General features: G+C 41.5%; 1 protein-coding gene across 3 annotated transcripts in view; it reads right to left on the bottom strand.

The window, feature by feature from the left end:
• Positions 1 to 20,730, bottom strand: part of KCNIP1 (potassium voltage-gated channel interacting protein 1) — a 383,146-nt gene that overhangs the window by 271,289 nt on the left and 91,127 nt on the right. The gene's annotated exons all lie outside the window — the stretch shown is intronic.

The following is a 20,730-nucleotide window of genomic DNA, read 5'->3' as shown; positions in this document are numbered from 1 at the left end:
GAAAAACAGGTGGTTTATAGCCTCTGATAAGGGGCAGGCTGGGTTTTCTCCCTAGGAATTTGCAGAATCATGTTCACATTCTAGTGAGAATAATGGATATATTGTAGGATCTATAGCAAAGGTTTGTTGTACAGAAAAATTTTATCATCTGTATGAAATTTTGTGTCTCCTCCTCACAAACTGTAGCATGTTAGCTCAGCCAGCTCTGGGTGTCTGCATCTCTCTCCAGCGTCCAGCATGTCCCAGTGCTCATGTTCCTGAAGGATCCCTCACATGGCTTGGAAGTTGAAAGACTGAAAGATCATCAGAACAGGTGGAGCATGTGTACAGAGAGCACTTGTGGCACACAGGTGACAGTGGAAGTGATCATATGGGAGCTCTGGAGCTTGCCTCCTAACCGTCTGGGCATCCACACTCAAGCCAGTAGGGCAGAGACTAGAAAGCAGGCTGTCCACTGAGTGGACACTTTCAGAAATGTGGATGAGGCACAACACGCCCTGTCTGGTCGCTGGATGAGGTCCCTAAGCCAGGCTTTGGGGGTTAGAATTCCATGATTCCCAAGCGTCTTGGGCTGTCTGTTCACAGGTCCTGTGTCGAAGAAACTCAAGAGTGGTGTAGGTAGTGGCTGAGAGGATGCAATGTCTTTATACTTAGGGCAGATCTGAATGTGGACCCGCATTTGTGGTTACCCAGCTCTCTGACCTCAAGCAATTCCCCATATTTCTTTGAGCCTGGGCTCTGCATCTGAAATACTGAGACAGTGGTTCCACTTGACTGCATTGTTGTGAGGTTTTGAGATGATAAATATTACCGTACTCAGTTCAATGTTTTCACTGCCATAGCTTTGAAGTAAGATTCGAAATCAGGAAGTGCAAGATGGACTTTGTCTAGCTTTGTTCTTTATCAGGATTGTTTTGGCTATTTGGGGTCACTTGCAATCCATATGAATTCCAGCAATAGCTTTTCCATTTCTGCAAAAATGGCCATGGGATTTTGACACGGGTTGCATTAAATCTGTAAATCACTTTGCAGTATAAATAACTGCAAAAAATGCTATGAAACTTTGACAGAGATTGCATCGAATCACTTTGAACCTATAAATCAATTTGTAAATCACTTTATAATATTAAGTATTGCCATCTTAACAATATAAGTCTTCTGATCATGAACATGGATGTCTTTGCATTTATTTCCATCTTTAATTTATTTCAATGATATTTTGTCGTGTTTAGAGTATATATAAGTTTTAGACTTCTGTTAAATTTATTCATAAGGATTTTATTTTCTTGATGCTATTGTAAGTGGGATTGTTTTTTGAATTTTATTTTTGGATTATTCATTACTAGTGTATAGGAATTTTAATTTTATATCCTGTAACCTTGCTGATCTTGTTAATTAGTTCTGATAATTCTAATAATGGATTATTTAGGATTGTCTCTATATAAGGTGGTATCATCCGGAAATAGTTTTATTTCTTCCTTTCCAATTTGAGTTCATTTTATTTCATTTCCTTGCCTAATTGTTCTGGCTAGAACTTCCAGTACAATATTTAATAAAAGTGCTGAGAGCAGACATCCTTGTATTTTTCCTGATCTTAGAGGAAAAACATTCAGTCTTTTACCATTATTTATCATATTAGCTGTGGATTTTTGGTAGATGTCCTTTATCACATTGAGAAAGTTCCACTCTATTTCTAGTTTGTTGAGTGTTTTTATCATGACGTCAGTTTGGATTTTGTTAAATGATTTTTCTGTGTCTAATAAGATGATCATGTGTTTTTTTCTCTTTTCTATTGAATTATGTATTATATTAATTAATTTTCAAATGTTAAACCAACTTTGCATTCCTTTGATAAATCCTATTTGGTCATGGTGTTAGTCTTTTTAACAGACTGCTGGATTCAGTTTACTAGTATTTTGTTGAGGATTTTTATGTTTATATTCATAAGCAGTATTGGTCTGTAGTTTTCTTTGTAGTGGCTTTGTATGGTTTGGTAATGGGATAATACTGGCCTCACAAAATGAAATGGAAAATGTCCCCTCTTCTTCTACATTTTAGAAGACTTTGTGAAGAATTGACATTAATTCTTTAATTTAAATATTCTGTATAATTCACCAGTGAAGCTGTCTGGGCTTAAGCTGTTCTTTGTGGGAAGTTTTAAAATGACAAATTCAATTTCTTTGTTATTTGGTAGTTTTAAAATTTTATTTTTATTTTTTTTATTTTCATAGGTTATTGGGGAACAGGTGATGTTTTGTTACATGAGTGAGTCCTTTGGTGGTGATTTGTGAGATTTTGGTGCACCCATCACCCGAGCAGTATATACTGCACCATATTTGTGGTCTTTTATCCCTCATCCACTCCCCACCCTCTCCCCCTGAGTCCCCAAAGTCCACTGTGTCACTCTTATGCCTTTGCATCCTCATAGTTTAGCTCCCACTTATGAATGAGAACATATGATGATTGATTTTCCATTGCTGAGTTACTTCACTTAGAATAATAGTCTCCAATCTCATCCAGGTTGCTGTGAATGCCACTAATTCATTCCTTTTTTTGGCTGAGTAGTATTCCATTTATATATATATATATCCACTCGTTGCTTTATGTGCATTTGGGCTGGTTCCACGTTTTTACAATTGCGAATTGTGCTGCTGTAAATATGTGTGTGCAAGTATCTTTTTCGTATAATGACTTCTTTTCCTCTGGGTAGACACCCAGTAGTGGGATTGCTGGATCAAATGGTAGTTCTACTTTTAGTACTTTAAGGAATCTCCACACTGTTTTCCATAGTGGTTGTACTAGTTTTACATTTTCACCAGCAGTGTAGAAGTGTTCCCTGTTCACCACATCCATGCCAGTGTCTATTATTTTTTGATTTTTTTATTATGGCCATCCTTGCAAGAGTGAGGTGGTATCACATTGTGGTTTTGATTTTCATTTCCCTGATCATTAGTGATGTTGAACATTTTTTCATATTTTTCTTGGCCATTTGTATATCTTCTTTTGAGAATTGTCTATTCATGTCCTTAGCCCAATTTTTGATGATTTTTTTTGGTAGTTTTTTTTTTTTTTTTTTTTTGCTAATTTGTTTGAGTTTGTTGTAGATTCTGGATATTAGTCCTTGGTCAGATGTATAGATTGTGAAGATTTTCTCCCACTCTCTGGGTTGTCTGTTTACTCTGCTGACTGTTCATTTTGCTGTGCAAAAGCTCTTTAGTTTAATTAAGTCCCAGCTATTTATCTTTGTTTTTATTGCATTTGCTTTTGGTTCTTGGTTATGAAATCCTTGCCTAAGCGAATGTCTAGAAGGGGTTTTCCAATGTTATCTTCTAGAATTTTTATAGTTTCAGGTCTTAGATTTAAGCCCTTGATCCATCTTGAGTTGATTTTTGTATAAGGTGAGAGATGAGGATCCAGTTTCATTCTCCTACATGTGGCTTGCCAATTATCCCAGCACTATTCCTTGAATGAGGTGTCCTTTCCCCACTATATGTTTTTGTTTGCTTTGTCAAAGATCAGTTTGCTGTAAGCGTTCGGGTTTATTTCTGCGTTCTCTCTTCTGTTCCATTGGTCTATTTGCCTTTTTTTTTTTTTGAGATGGAGTCTCGTTTTGTCGCCCGGGCTGGAGTGCAGTGGCTCTATCTCAGCTCACTGCAAGCTCTGCCTCCCGGGTTCATGCCATTCTCCTGCCTCAGCCTCCCGAGTAGCTGGGAGTACAGGCGTCTGCCACCACACCTGGCTAATTTTTTGTATTTTTAGTAGAGACGGAGTTTTACCATGTTAGCCAGGATGGTCTCAATCTCCTGACTTTGTGATCCGCCTGCCTCGGTCTCCCAAAGTGCTGGGATTACAGGTGTGAGCCACTGCACCCAACCCTATGTGCCTATTTTTATACCAGTACCATGCTGTTTGGGTGACTATGGCCTTATAGTATAGTTTGAAATCAGGTAATGTGATGCCTCCAGATTTGTTCTTTTTGCTTAGTCTTGCTTTGGCTATGTGGGCTCTTTTTTGCTTCCATGTGAATTTTAAGACTGTTTTTTTCTAATTCTGTGAAGAATGATAGTAGTATTTTGATGGAATTGCACTGAATTTGTAGATTGCTTTTGGTAGTATTGTCATTTTCACAATATTTAATCTACCCATACATGAGCATTGGATGTGTTTCCATTTGTCTGTGTCATCTATGATTTCTTTCAGCAGTGTTTTGTAGTCTTCCTTGTAGAGGTCTTTCATCTCCTTGGTTAGGTATATTCCTAAGTATTTTATTTTATTTTTTTTGCAGCTATTGTAAAAGAGGTTGAGTTCTTGATTTGATTCTCAGCTTGGTTGCAGTTGGTGGATAGAAGAGCTACTGATTTGTGTACATTAATTTTGTATTCAAAACTTTGCTGAATTCTTTGATCAGTTCTAGGAGCTTTCTGGAGGCATCTTTAGGTTTTTCTAGGTAAACAATAATATCATCAGCAAACAGTGACAGTTTGACTTCCTCTTTACTGATTTGGATGCCTTTTATTTCTTTCTCTTGTCTTATTGCTCTGGCTAGGACTTCCATTACTAGGTTGAAGAAGAGTGGTGAGACTGGGCATCTTTGTTCCAGTTCTCAGTATTATGTAGGCTGTGGGTTTGTCATAGATGACTTTTATTACACTGAGGTATGTCCCTTGTGTGCCAATTTTGCTGAGAGTTTTAATCATAGAAGCGTGCTGGATTTTGTTGAATGCTTTTTCTGCATCTATTGAGATGATCCTGTGATTTTTGTTTTTAATTATGTTTATGTGGTGTATCACATTTATTGACTTTGCATATGTTAAACCCTCCCTGCATCCCTGGTATTAAACTCACTTGATCATGGTGGATTATCTTTTTGATATGTTGTTGGATTCGGTTAGCTAGCATTTTGTTAAGGATTTTTTGCATCTATGTTCATCAGGGATATTGGTCTGTAGTTTTCTTTTTTGGTTGTGTCCTTTCCTGGTTTTGGTATTAGGATGACACTGGCTTCCTAGGATGATTTAGGGAGGTTTCCTTCTTTCTCTATCTTGTGGAATAGTGTCAGTAGGATTGGTACCATTTCTTCTTTGAATGTCTGGTAGAATTCTGGTATGAATCCACCTGGTCCTGGACTTTTTTATTGGTAATTTTTTAATTACCATTTCAATCTCACTGCTTGTTATTGGTCTGTTCATGGTATCGAATTCTCCCTGATTTAAGCAAGGAGGGTTGTATCTATCCAGGAATTTATCCATCTCCTTTAGGTTTTCAAGTTTATGCACATAAAGGTGTTCAGAGTAGCCTTGAATGTTCTCTTGTATTTCTGTGGTTTTCAGTTGCAATGTCTCCCATTTCATTTCTAATTGAGCTTATTTGGATTTTCTCTCTTCCTATCTTGGTTAATCTTGCTAATGGTCTATCAATCGTATTTATCTTTTCAAAGAATCAGCTATTTGTTTCATTTATCTTTTGTAATTTTTTTGTTTCAATTTCATTTAGTTCTGCTCTGATCTTGGTTATTTCCTTTCTTCTGCTGAATTTGGGTTTGGTTTGTTCTTGTTTCTCTAGTTCCTTGAGGTGTGACTTTAGATTATCTATTTGTGCTCTTTCAGACTTTTCAATGTAGGCCTTTAGGGCTATGAACTTTCCTCTTAGCATCCCCTTTGCTGGATCCCAGAGGTTTTGATAGGTTGTGTCAGTACTGTCATTCAGTTTGAATAATTTTTAAATTTGCATTTTGATTTCATTTTTGACCCAGTGATATTCAGGAGCAGGTTATTTAATTTCCATGTATTTGCATGATTTAGAAAGTCCTTTTGGCCTTAATTTCCAGTTTTATTCCACTGTGGTCTAACAGAGTGCTTGATATAATTTCAATTTTCTTAAATTTATCAAGGCTCATTTTGTGACCTATCATATGGTCTATCTTGGAGAAAGTTCCATATGCAGTTGAATAGAATGTATATTCCACAGTTGTTTGATAGAATGTTCTATAAATATCTGTTAAGTCCATTTGTTCCAGGATATACTTTAAATCCATTGTTCTTTGTTGACTTTCTGTCTTGATGACCTGTCTAGTGCTGTCAGTGGAGTATTGAAGTCCCCCTCTGTTACTGTGTTGCCGTCTATCTCATTTCTTAGGTCTATTAGTAATTGTTTTATAAATTTAGGAGCTTCAGTGTTAGGTGCATATATATTTAGGATTGTGATATTTTCTTGTTGGTCAAGGCCTTTTATCATTATATAATGTCCCTCTTTGTCTTTTTTAACTGCTGTTGCTCTAAAATTTGTTTTGTCTGATATAAGAATAGTTACTCCATTTGCATAGAATGTCTTTTCCACCCCTTTACCTTAAGTTTATTTGTGTCCTTATGTGTTAGGTGAGTCTCTTGAAGGCAGCAGATAGCTGGTTGGTGAATTCTTAGCCATTCTGCAATTCTGTATCTTTTAAGTGGAGCATGTAGGCCATTTACATTCAATGTTAGTATTGAGGTGTGAGGTACCATTACATTCTTCATGCTATTTGTTGTCCGTATACCTTGTTTTTTGTTGTTGTCTTAATTGTATTTTTGTTTTATAGTTTCTGTGAGATTTATGCCTTAAAGACGTTCTGTTTTGATGTGTTTCCAGGATTTGATTGAAGGTTTAGAGCTCCTTTTAGTAGTTCTTGTAGTGCTGACTTGGTAGTGGTGAATTCTCTCAGCATTTGTTTATCTGAAAAAGACTGTATCTTTCCTTCATTTATAAAGCTTAGTTTCACTGGCTACAAAATTCTTGGCTGATAATTGTTTTGTTTAAGGAGGCTGAAGATAGGGCCCCAATCCCTTCTAGCTTGTAGGGTTTTGGCTGAGAAATCTGCTGTTAATCTGATAGGTTTCCCTTTATAGATTACCTGGTGCTTTTGCCTCACAGCTCTTAAGATTCTTTCCTTCATCTTAACTTTAGATAACCTGATGACAATGTGTCTAAGTAATGATCTTTTTGCAATGAATTTCCCAGGTGTTCTTTGAGCCTCTTGTATTTGGATGTCTAGGGCTCTAGCAAGGCTGGGGGAGTTTTCCTTGATTATTCCCCCGAATATGTTTTCCAAACTTTTAGATTTCTCTTCTTCCTCAGGAATGCCAATTATTCTTAGGTTTGGCCATTTAATATAATCCCAGACTTATTGGAGGCTTTGTTCATATTTTCTTATAATTTTTCCTTTGTCTTTTTTGGATTGGGTTCATTCTAAAACCTTGTCTTTGAGCTCTGAAGTTCTTTCTTCAGCGTGTTCAATTCTATTGCTGAGAGTTTCCAGAGCCTTTTGCATTTCTATAACTGTGTCCATTGTTTCCTGAAGTTTTGATTGTTTTTTATTTATGCTATCTATTTCATTGAAAATCTCTCCCTTCACCTGTTGTATCATTTTTTTGATTTCCTTAAGTTGGACTTTGCCTTTCACTGGTGCCTTCCTGATTAGCTTAATAACTAACCTTCTGAATTCTTTTTCAGGTGAAACAGGGATTTCTTCTTGGTTTGCATCCATTGCTGGTGACCTAGTGTGATTTTTTGGGGGGTATTAAGGAACCTTGTTTTGTCATATTACTAGAGTTGGGTTTCTGGTTCCTCCTCATTTGTGTAGTGTCTGTCAGATGGAAGGCCTAGGGCTCGAGGCTGTTGTTCAGATTCTTTTGTCCCATGGGGTGTTCCCTTGATGTATTACTCTCCCCCTTTTCCTAGGGATGTGGCTTCCTGAGAGCCGAGCTGTAGTGATTGTTATCTCTCTTCTGGATCTAGCCACCCAGGATGTCTACCAGGTTCCAGGCTGGTACTGGGGGTTGTCTGTACAGAGTCCTGTGATGCAAACCATCTGTGGGTTTCTCAGCCACAGATACCAGCACAGTATTTGAGGTGTCTCCCAGGTCCTGCAGGAGCAATCCACTTCCTTCAGAGGGTCTGTGGGTTCTCTTGGCTCTCCTAATTTATTCCTGCAGTCGTTATGCCCCTCCAGGGCCTCTCCGTACTCTTCCTGACATGTGGTGGTGGTGGTGGTGGCCCCTGCAGTTTTGCTGCCCTGTCTTCAGCTCTCAGTTTAATAATCTTTTTTAAATACCTATTTAGATTTTCTATTTCTACTTGAGTCAGTTTTTGTAGTTTGTGTCTTTCTAAGAATTTGTCCATTTCATTTGTAATTTAATTTGTTGGCATATCAATTGGCTTGTTGTATTCCTCTATACTTTTTGTATCTATGAGGTTGGTAGTAATGTTCTCTCATTCTTTCCTGATTATGGTAATTTAAGTATTCTTTTTTTCTTGGTCAGTTTAGCTAAAAGCTTGTCACTTTTGCTCATCTTTTGAAATAACCAGCTGGGTGTGGTGGCTCAGCATTTTGAGAGGCTGAGGCAGGAGGATCGCTTGAGCCTAGGAATTTGAGACCAGCCTGGGCAACATAGGGAAACCTCATCTCTACAAAAAATTGAAAACATTAGCTGGACATGGTGGTGCACTCCTGTGGTTCCAGCTACTCGAGAGTCTGAGGTAGGAGGATCACTTAAGTCCAGGAGATCGAGGCTGCAGTGAGCTGTGATTGCACCACTGCACTCCAGCCTGAGTGACAGAGCTAGACCTTGTCTCAAAAGAAACAAGAAAGAAAGAAAGAAAGAAAGAAAAAGAGAGAGAGAGAGAAAGAAAGAAAGAGAAAGAAAGAAAACAAGAACCACTTTTTGGTTTCAGTGATATTCTCTATTGTTTTTCTGTCCTCAATTTCATTAATTTCCACTTTCATTATTGTCTTCCTTCTGCTTGCTTTAGGATTAGTTTGCTGCTTTTCCCCTAGCGTCTTAAGATAGAAGTCTAGCTTATTGATATGAGATGTTTTTTCTTTTTTTAAAAAAATTTTACTCTAAGTTTGGGGATACATGTGCAGAATGTGCAGGTTTGTTACACAGGTATACATGTGCCATGGTGGTTTGCTGCACCTATCAACCTGTCATCTAGGTTTTAAACCCCATATGCATGAGGTATTTGTCCTAATGCTCTCCCTCCACTTGCCCCCCACCCTCCGACAGGCCCCGGTGTGTGATGTTCCCCTCCCTGTGTCCATGTGTACTCATTGTTCAACTCCCACTTATGAGTGAGAATATGTGGTGTTTGTTTATCTGTTCCTGTGTCAGTTTGCTGAGAATGATGGCTTCCAGCTTCATCTATGTCCCTGCAAAGGACATAAACTCATTCTTTTTTATGGCTGCATAGTATTCCATGGTGTATATGTGCCACATTTTCTTTGTCCAGTCTATCATTGATGGGCATTTGGGTTGGTTCCAAGTCTTTGCCATTGGAAATAGTGCCTCAATAAATATATGTATGCATGTGTCTTTATAGTAGAATGATTTATAATCCTTTGGGTGTATACCCAGTAATGGGATTGCTGGGTCAAATGGTATTTCTGGTTCTAGATCCTTGAGGAATCGCCATATTGTCTTCCACAGTGGTTGAACTAATTTACAGTCCCACCAACAGTGTAACTTTCTCCATTTTTAATGTAGGTATGTGGAGCTATAAATTTCCCTCTAAGCATTGCTTTAGCTATATTGCATAAATTTTTATATGTTGTGTCTTAATTTTCATTCATCTCAAAGTATTTTCTCATTTATTTTGTGATTTCTTCTTCAACCAATTGGTTACTTATGGGTATGTTAATTTCTATATAGTTGTGAGTTTCCAAAAGTTCTTTCTAATTTTATTCTTTGTGGCCAAGGAACAGATTGTGTATAATTTCAGTCCTTTTAAATTATCGAAGCTTGTTTTGTGGCCTAGCATATGGTCTATTCTACAGAATGTTTGATGTGTACTTAAGAAGAATATGTGGGCCAGGCATGTGGCTTGTGCCTATAATCCCAGCACTTTGGGAAGCTGAGGCCCATGTATCACCTGAGCCTGGGAAGTTGAGGCTGCAGTGAGCCATGATCACACCACTGCACTCTAGCCTGGGCAACAGAGTAAGATCCTGTTGAAGAAGAAGAAGAAGGAGAAGGAGAAAGAGAAGAAGGAAGAAGAAGAAGGGGAAGGGGAAGGGGAAGGGGAGGAGGAGGAGAAGTAGGAGGAGGAAGACTTCTGTTGTTGGGTGGATTATTCTATAGATATCCATTAGGCCTAGTTGGTGTATAGCTTTGTTAAAATATTCTATTTTCTTGTTGATCTTATGTCTAGTTGTTCTATCCATTATTGAAAGTGAGGTATTGAAGTTTCTAAATATTGCTGAGCTGCCTATTTATTTATCCCTTCAACTTTGTCAGTTTTTGTTTTATGTATTTTGAGATTCTATTTTTAGGAGCATATTTGTTTATAATTGTGGTATCTTCCTGATATTTTGATACTTTTATTATTATAAAATGTCCCTTTCTATCTGTATTAACATTTTTGTTTTAAAATCCATTTTGTCTAACATTGAAATAGCTACTCCAGGTTTATCTCTTCTTTTTTTAAGAACAATATTTTTTTAACCTTCATTGAACTTTGTAGTGAGGGTAAAAGTAATAGAAACATCAAATGAATACACAGACTAGATAATCTGTAAAAATAACTAGTTCTTTATGTTTACACAGAAGTCTGTCACACAGATTTCAGAATTACATAGCTTAAAGAGTTCTAATTATATAAAAACATTCTTAATTCTGAAATATTTCCAACTTCCTACTCATTTTTCTTAGAAATCTACAGGCAACATTTCATAGTTTTACCAGGTAAAGTTTAATGTCTTTTCATATGATCATCAGGAAGTTTTCTAAACTTCTCACCTGCATTCTTAATTCTTAGTCTGTGTAAGACAGAGTACAAAAACCAGTTCTCCTGGGCATCAGGTATCTCCTGACTTATAAGTAAGGGTCTCTGGCAGGATGCAAACATTTTAGGTCAAGGCCACTTCTTGGAATTTGTTTCAGGTTTAGGTACACTCCTCTAGTCCTTCATTACATTTAATGCCAATCTCTTTGTTTCACATTGCTCATTATCACTTGGAAGAAGCTACCTGTATGCATACCAAAATTTAATTTGTCCCTTCCTCCCACCTTTTGTGAGTTAATTATACTCACTTCTTCGAGTCAACCATGAAAACAAATGCACTTCTTGAGGATTTTAAAGAAATTTGGGTGTGTTGAGAAAGAAAAGACCTTCTAAAACTGCAGGACGTTTTCCTCTTTTTGCAAAGCATGAATTATTCTTCTAGGAATAAAGCTTGCTTTCCTGTGAATGGATTGAAATCTGGAGCTAGCTAACCTTCTTGAGCAGCTGTAATAGTTTTCTAAACTGTGTAACAACTAACATACCTTTATGATGTGACAGTTTCTGTGGGTCAGAAGAATGGACACGGTTCAGCTGTGTCCTTTTCCCCAGGTCTCACAAGACTGCAATCAAGGTGTTGGCTGGTCTGTATTTTACTTGTCAGGCTCAACTTGGGGAGAATCTAGTTCCAGCCTTACTCAGGATGTTGGCAGAATTCATTTCCTGTATGTGTAGAACCAAGGACGTCTGTTTCTTGCTGGGTGTTTGCTGGATGCCAGTCTCAGCACCTGGGCTTCCCACAGCTCCTTGCCACGTGGAAGTCTTCATCATGGTTACATACTTTGTCAAGTCAGCAAGGAGAATCTCTAGCATGAATCTTCCATCATAAAGGAGCCACATGATGTAATGTAATCACAGGAGTAACGTCCCACCACCTCCGCCATATTCCACTGGTTAGAAGCAAGTCACAGATCTCATCTACCTTCAAGTGGAGGTTATTACATAAAGGTGTAAATACCAGAAGGCAGAGCTGATTGGCAATTAATTTAGGGTCTGTCCACTAGTCGTGTTGGAGTACTCCTTAAAAGATATGCCCCAAAGTTACTTTCAGATTTTCTAAAAAGGAAACTGGAACCAGGAATGTGGTACCCCGCTAAATGATGCCTGGAAGTGCACCTGTTTTCTTTGGTGGTATGGTGGCTGCAATATGTGAAAACTGCCTTTCCCCATCCTTCAGCACTAAGCCAGCACATTGGAAGATGTGACAAAGACCATTACATTGAAATAGAGGCCACTTCTCTAATAAGGCAACTTTCCTTTAAAGTTAAATTGAGAAACTAAGTGACTGGATGATATCCTTTTAATGGCTGCTGAGCGTAAATGCATTTTGAGAGCAAATGCTCCTTCAGGAATGATCATTTCTAATGTTCTTTCAAGTCGTCAATTTGGAGGGTGAAGAGGAATGTGATTAGAAGACCAAACTAACAAAGAATTTTGAGACCAGCAAAAATGTTGACTGCACGGACGTATAATTTAAACTGCCAAAGTGCTAGCACATTTTTCATGCAAAATATACTTAATCAGTAATAATCCTGTTCCTCAAGAAGGCTTCTAATATGTTTTATTGCCTTTTTAGATTTTTCCCCCTTCATTTTCTAAAATATAATCATAGTTCAGCAACTCCATCTGTGAACGATCCAGCGATGAATTCTGGGTGGTAATGATGTACAACGAGTGAATAACAATTCCTTAATCACGCTGTTTCCTCTGTTGTCGCCTCATTTGAATTCCTGGTTTTCAGAAAATTCAATTATAGTTGCAATTTCATCAAGAAATTACTCAGACAAATAACTGACAGAGAGTAACAGTTCGCTTCTTTGTCAGGATAAAGGCAGAGGGAGCAGGGTGGGGAGAGAAGTGGCAAAAGACAGATTTGATTAAAAGTGTCGTAAAGAAGTTTTGCTTTCCTGAGAGGCAAAGGAGAAGGGTGACAATTTTACAGCCATGGATGTCAGCTTGGCCTGAAGATGGGAAGTGACAGGAGCCCCTAAATGAAACTTCCTCATCCATCAAGGCTGGCCTAACATCCCTCTCTGGACCCATCACCAGCTTTTGTTGACATTTATGAGGCCCCAGCCCTCATTCCAGGCAGAAATTTACAATGGGCAATCAGAGGTGCCCATGGCTACCTTCATCATCTGAGTTTCATATTGAATTCTGTAGCCATGCACACTAGGCGCTTTCCGGTTGCTAAGGAGAAGCCCTATCTTGACTTCAACGTTGCCAATAAAGATTCTCTGAGTTTTCGAAGAAGGAGATTAATCATCCTCCTCAACTAACATCTGTTGGCATTCTGTCTCCATTGGGTGATTCAGCCCATTACCCAACCACTGTCAGAGGTGATGCAAGCACCACACAGTGCGTCTCTAATCCACACTCAAAGCCTGAATTTTGTTCTGTTCTCAGTCCCCAATGCCACCAACCACGTTTCCCTCTGGGTCTTTCCATGGGAAGCAGGCCTGAGGAATGGAGACGGAGTCACAGGGGTGTCCATGGATTGGAGTGATATCAGCAGGACTTATGAGGATGGCCTTACAGTTACCACTCCATGACAATAGCCACCAGCCCAGGCCTGGGCAGGGCAGCTCCTGGGATAGAGAGTGTCTGCTCCATGCTGCATGCTCTTACCTCTCTGGAAGCAGATGTAATCATCCAGTGATAACATTCTTTTTCTCAAGGAATATTAGCTGATCTCTTTCCAGATGAGACATGCCCAGTCACGGACACCCAGGACAGCAAAGCTTGCATCTTCCCCCTGCAAACACACACACACACACACACACACACACACACACACACACACACACAATGCAGGAGAAGCTGAAGCAACTGTCCGGAAAACATATAGTATGTACAAAGTTGTCTACTCCAGCTGATGCTCCCTATCAGAAATACATTTCTCACTATCAATTAGCTTGCAGAAATTGTTTAATTAGGTATTTTTTTTTTTTTGCAAGTTCAGGTTTCTGGGAAATGGGTGGTGTCAATGCCCTTTAGCCAAAGACCAGGAACACACCTGCAGTTGAACGGAGCTGGGTTTATTGGCTCATTGCAGCAAGGAGATTGTGCACTGTGGGGAACAGTGAGGGGTCTTTGTGAGAGGGTGTTACGAAGAACTTACAAAAGGATGGGGGCTTGTGTTAAGTGACTAGGGAGGGTTCAATTGGATGCCATCAGGCAGTAGGAATCATTCTATAATTGGGTACCTATAATCTTATCTATAAGGTAGAAGGACTAGTGCAGGGCCAACATTATAAACATTGGTAAACAGTTACTCCCATTAGCCCAAAAAAGCGGGATGTCTGGTCATTTTTGTGGTTTAGACAATGTTCTTGTTTTATCTGCGTTTAGACATGACTACGAAGTGCTCTCGATTTTGTCTTGCTCCAACACAGTCAGAATAGCCTTGTCTGATGTCAATGTTCTGTGAAATTGTTCAACAGGAGACAAACTGTGAGGACCAGGCCAGCTCCCGTCAGTTGGGGCTGCTTGCCTCTTTCTCAGCAACAAACTTTTTCAAGGTTGTGATCCCCTTCTTCATATCCATGCTCTCGGTAATCGCACACACTCTTCTAAATACTAAGCACCTTCTCTATGGCAAGTGTCAGGTGATGGGACTGGAGCACTGAACGTGTCAGCCACAGTCCCACCCTCTCAAAGCCCCTGGCCTTGCAGGGGAGATAATCACGATGGGGTGTGATGAGCGCTCAGCTTGCGATCCGCAGGATTTTATCAGCCTCAAAATGGAAGGGATCCTGCGTGGCCAGGGGAGACATTCTGAAAACCGATAGAAGTTGGCCAGAGAAAGAGAAGGGGGAAACTGTTTCTGGGGATCGGGGCGGAGGTGGTCGGAGCAACTGGGTCAAATCTTTAATTCTTGAGATGTGAGAGCTACAAGGGGTTTACAGGGGCAGGAATGAGGGGTGTGGGTGGATAGCAGGCAGGAGCTAGAACACAGGAGGCCTTGCAAGCCCTTCAGAGGAGTCTGGGCGGAATTTAGCCTATGGTGAGTAATAGGGAGCCACGGAAGGGTTTTCAGCTAGGGAATGCTGTGGTCTGATTTACATTTTCAGGATACACCTACAGAGTGACTGTGAGAAAGGAAGACAGACAGGGGTGGGTGGCGGAACTGAACATCTTGATTTGTGAGTAGATGCGGGGTCCAACCCGCAGACCCTGGCTGAGTGATGGATGAAAAAATGTATGCAGACACAGATTTTTTGCCTGGCTGCACGGCTAAGGGACTGGGCCACTCACAGGCACCGAGGAGGGTGCTGTAAAGAGTCAGCAGCTGCAGCCTTGACAAGCTGGTGCTGTGGGCATATATTCAGTACAGATTTAATGACAAAGGCTTTGAGTCAACACACTTGTGGGTAATTAACATGGTGGCAGGGGGTGGGGTGAGGGTGGGGTGGGGGGTCGGGCGATCCTTTCCCCCAAGAGAGCAGTCCTGAGCATGGATGATTAAAGGCCATGTTTCAAGGCCTAAGTAAACTAACTTATCTAGATTAATTCCCTTACACTTCCTTGTTATTTACTCTGAGAAAATTCAGCTGCCTTCAGCCAAATCCTTTCCCAAAACTTTTGCAAAACCTCCCGGCCTTCCAAGAAGGTTTGAGTCTTTCTATAATTTTTATAATTTTTCCTACCACCCTGACTGAACTCCTACAAGTAGAGACCCCAGGCCCTATATGACTGCTTCTAGTTATCAAAGCAGGAGAAGGAACTGCAAAGGAGGGTGGGGTCTGAGGGTAGAGTGGAATTAGCTGACCCATTGCTCAGGAGTACCTGGCAATGCTGCTACTTCTAATCCCAACTGGTGTCCACTCAGCATTTAACATACACCGCCGGCACTGTTCTGTTCTAAGTTCCTTATGTGGATTATTGTATTGTATCAGCACAATAGCTGTATGGAGTAGGTGCTTCTAATTTTTAGCCCTAGGTTATAGGTGAGGAAACTGAAGCACAGAGAGGCTGAGCAATTTGCACATCATCCAGCTGCTAAGTGGGGCAGGAGTTCAACCTACAGCAGCCTGATTCAGGACCTGCCCGATTTTCCTCTGGACTCCTTGGAGCCCTGGAAGTGCCAGGCTCTGCCCTGCACATTGTGCTCATCTGGGCCTCAGAAAACTGTGGTCCAAGGGTGTGTGGAGCTCAGGGAATGTCAGTGCCCGAAGCACAGTTTGGAAGTTGAGGGCTACTTTTCAGGAGTTGGGACAAAGAGCTTAGAAGCTCAGCAATTATGAGGAAGCTCCTGTAACTTAGCAAGTTGCTATCTTTGAGTCTGAAGTGTCCAGTACGGGGCTTGCTGGTTTTGCCCTAGAAGTTTGAGTGTAATAAATGTGTATGAATGAACAAATGGAGAATGAATGAATGAACCAACTCACTACCTCTCTTCTAAATAGATGGCAATAGGATATTGTGCAGATGAGACAGGAGAGGGCTAGTGTCTCATTTCCAAGGACACTTTCTTATGGAGGCACTGGAATTGCCACTGTGATGATGTTAACCCACAAGGAGAATTCGCTTCCTTGAATTAAGCATGAAGTAGAGTGCTGCATGTGCTTCCCAGCTGCGTAGCCCTAGACGGGTCCCTTACACTCCCTGAGCCTCAGTGTTCTCATCTGTAATACGGGAACAATTACCTTGTAGGGTTGTTTTCATAATTATAGAGTATATTTTAAGTGTCTGTTAGGCATTTGGTACATAATGGGTGCTGGGTAGATGAAAGAAGATATGGAAACGAGTCATTTTTGAACAGTTATAAATCACTGAAAAGTATGGCTTTATTCACTACAACCAGAGGGAAAGAGGGGTGGGAAACAGGCCTTGTTGGGTCCAGACCAGCTCATACACTATTATTTGTTTGCAATGCCTTTTCACTTGTGGCTTTTTATCTTGCCCATTCTTGAAAATTGCTAAAGAAATGGGCCTTCTCTGGTAATTGTTCCTTTTGGTGGTCAGTATTCCTCAGGCAAGTCTCTCCATTAGCATCACCATGGCAACCTGCCCACTCAAGGGGCTTGCAGCCCACACTTCCCCCAGGGAGTAAGCAGCCACTCCTCCAAGCCCCCAGGGCCTCCATGGCTGGTCAGAGAAAAGGGAGCACAGCAATGTGAGCACTTCTACCTGCAGGATCTGGGATGTGGGCGTAAGAGGACACGGGGCCTGGCGTACAGCAGATGTACAAGACATGCTGGTAGAAGTGAAATGAGGCAACTCTATTTTGGGGTTTCCTGGAACAGGGCAATTGCCCTGAGTCCAAAAACTGAAGCTGCTCCATGCTGCCAGGCAGTGATAGTGGGGGATCACTCTGGCCTAAGAGAGTTCAATCCATCCACTCATTCAACAATATCAATAGGCTGGGCAACTATACTAACTACTACTAACAATGATGAAATAGATGCACTTCTGTCCTCATGCAGCTCACAGAATAGTGAGGAAACACAGAAATAAACAGTAAAATCCAGGGTCAGGATGCTACTAAGAGGAACATGCAGGGTGGTGTGGGAGCCCAGATTTGGGGTGATCTGGGAGGGCTTCTCAGGGGAAGAGTCTTCAAGCCTGACCCTTGGATGACTGGGTAGGAGTCATCCAGTCACAAAAAGAGGGTGAATGCCTGCTCCAGGTGAGAGAAATGACATGTGCAAAGGCCTCAAGGTGAAAGGGAATAGGATGACTTCAACTGGAAACTCAAGACAACTTGTCTCAGTCAAGGTCTCATTTGTAAGCAACAAACACGGAGTCTGGCTCCTCCAAGCAGAAAAGGGATCGATTAAGTGACATTCGTTGGCCCACTGAAATCTCTGAGAAACTAAAATAAATTCAGAGGCTACGGGCCAGGAGCAACCCTTGAAATAACATGACGAAACTGGCCCTGTGAAGACACCCCCGTCTTGGCTGCTGGCACTGATTTGGTGGCTTGCATGACCAACATCCCTGAGGCTGAATTCTGGATGCTGCCCCTGGGAGCTAGAGGCCACGCACCTTGTGCCACCCCCTTCACAAACGGGGTCCTGTGTGGTTCCTAATTCTTCAAGTCAGAACTTCCCATTCAAACTCTAGGGCAGAAGGGTTTGATTGACTGAGTCTAGCTCATTTAGGCTCACCATAGCTGCAAGAGAGGCTGGAATGGAGGGAACGTGGCATTTCCAGCTTTATGATGAGAGGTAGGGTCTGCTTCATAAAGAAAACAGGAAGATTCCTGAACATAACTTGAACATGTGAGTGCCCGTGGTCCTGTTATTTGACCCAAATTCAGTCATTTGGGGCAATAAATGCCCCCCTCCCAATTCTTCCCCTTAGTCCCCTTTGTGGTTTGCCTCTCTCTTGCAGTAGGAGCTTTCCCAGCTGGCATACAGCAGATGTACAAGACATGCAGTAGGAGCTTTCCCAGCTCCTACTGGGATGTTTTTGAATTCCTACTCTATGAGTGAGGCGTGATGCCAGGCATGAGGAATATTCAGATGAATAAGAAGATGGAGATTCACCTGAGCTTCAAGGGGGTGAAACATCAAATGGGAGAGATATCTGAAGAATGAAAATAAACCTAAATTAAGCCATTGCTTAATGCAGGAACACCTATTACTCTTTCGGCATGTAGAGAGAGGAAATTTGGTTCAGTCAGGACCTGGAGCAGGTTCACAAGTCTTTTCACAGGATCCCCAGGGAGGGACGTGAGGGCCCAGTTAAGCCATTTAGTAGAGTGCTGGGGACAGATGGAGATTTGGACATGTGGCAGGTCCTGCCTCACCTAGAACTGGGGAGAAGATAGAAGTGGGAGAAGTTGAGGCTGGGTGCAGTGCCTCATGCCTGTAATCCCAGCATTTTGGGAGGCCGAGGCAGGAGGATTGCTTGAGCCCAGGAGTTCCAGATCAGGATGGACAGCAAAATAAATAAATAAAAATAGCTGGGCATACTAGTACACCTGTAGTCCCACCTACTCGTGAGGCTGAGGTGGGAGGATTGTTTGAGGCAGAAGTTCAAGGCTGCAGTGAGCTATGATTGCACCAATGTACTTTAGCCTGGGCAACAGAGCAAGACCCTGTATCTAAAAAAGAAGTAGGGGAGGTGGAGTGTCAGGAGCTGTACCCAGCACTGTGATTTTTTTTTTTTTTGTCAGCAAGGTCAAAGGTTAGTACACAAATAACTCAAAGCAAGACTTGAGCTCAGACTTCTCAAAGAGAAGATGCAATTTGCCCACGTTCACATAGCCTATGTAAGAGTCCAATACCTTCAAACCCAGTCTCACTGCACTACTCAATAGCAGCAACCTTCAGAAATGGATTTTTCTAGGCGCAGAGTTTTCCAAGTCTCACCACACAAAATAAAAGGGGAGAACATATCCCGTTCTCTGTCCCGTGCTGCCAGTGAGGGTAATGACTGACGGCCGAGCTACAGGGAGACTTCCTGGGCGACTGTATCGGCCAGCTACTGCTTAGAGAGTGCTCAAGGGTAGGAAAGAGAGGGACAGGAGCTGCTCCATGCATTTTACACTGTCAGTTTCTCCAGGTCAGGCTGCATGCTTATGAAGGACTGAATGAAACAGAGAGCCATGTGGCAATTTCCCTTGTCTTAGCACAAACTTTCTGGATACTGGGCAAATCAAACTGTCTTCACCCAGGGAAGGGAGCAGAGTGTGCAGTGATGAATTAGGATTAAAGAGTTAGGATTGAAGGAACAATGTTGCCCAATGCAGCCCTTTCACCTTCTTTAACCTCGGTAGTATGGCCTGGCTTTAGGCCCTGATAATTTAGATCCAAGGAGATCTCTACAGATGGAAAGGGAGCGGGGGATAGTGAGAAGGGAGAGGTTAATTGTTGCCGGATGAAATTCGGGAAGGCTGACTATGTGCCTGTGAGGGAAGGAGGCGAGCTGCTCTCTCCTCAGCGAGCATTCAGGTTCACATCCAAGCTCTGACACTTACTAGCCATGTGGTCTTCAGCAAGTTTTATCCCAGTACCTCAGTTTCTTCATTTGCAAAGTGAGAATGATAACAGGAGGAAACTTGGAAGGGAACTGCGTGGCCTAATAAATACCAGCAAAGTGCTTTGTAAACAGTAGCTGCCACCCCAGGAATCCACCTCGGGATCCGCAGTCCTCTCACTCGCAGCCATGGTGGCAGGCACTGTCCAAGTCTTCTCTTGGCTTGCCCTCTGCTTTTCCAGTTGGCCTGATACAGTCATTGACTCTCCGATCAGCAAGGACCATCTATTCATTCATTCATTCAACGAATGAGCATCCACATGCATCTGAGGCAATTGGAGACAACAGTGAAGGAGGCAGGCCAGGCCCTGCCCCCTTAACGGGGCTCTGTACCGGATGTGTAGGTGCTCATGTGATTATAAAACCCTGGGCCCCACAGGAAGGAAAGTTCCCGCCTGCAGTGACAGAGCTGGCCAGTGACGGCCAGGCACATGTACCTTGTTCATCACCCTTGTGTTTCCAACCTCACTGGCACAGGGTAGCTGCTCAATCAATACTTGCTGAATTGAAAAAATGGATTAATAATGCCTAGCTGAGTGCTCTTTCATGACTTCCATCAAAATAATTGGAAAGCGAGGGTTTGTGTGGACTGAGGATTAGTGCTTCCCACCGTGTGGCCCCAACTCAATTCTCCCTCTGCAAAGGGTGGGCTGAGGCAGCTGGAGGGGGTTTTATTTCTGCTCTCAGGCCACTGCATCTGGAGCCAAAGTAATGCAACAATGTCAATCAGAAATGCCATTCTGTCCAGATAATCACATAACTATCCTTGCCCGCAGATCTTCTCAGGTACTTAGTCCTGAGGTCTAAAGGAAACCAGACTTGGGGAAGAAGGTTTTTTTTTTTTTTTAAAAAAAGAAAAAATATAATTTGTAGACACTGGTAGCATTTTATTCAGAATTCAACAAATTATATGCCTCACTTTTGTAGGGGTTG

This window comes from Homo sapiens, chromosome 5 (assembly GCF_000001405.40).
Source record: "Homo sapiens chromosome 5, GRCh38.p14 Primary Assembly".
Classification (NCBI taxonomy): Eukaryota; Metazoa; Chordata; class Mammalia; order Primates; family Hominidae; genus Homo; species Homo sapiens.
The sequence above is the reverse complement of the archived record's forward strand: the minus strand, read 5'-3'. Positions and strand labels throughout refer to the sequence as shown.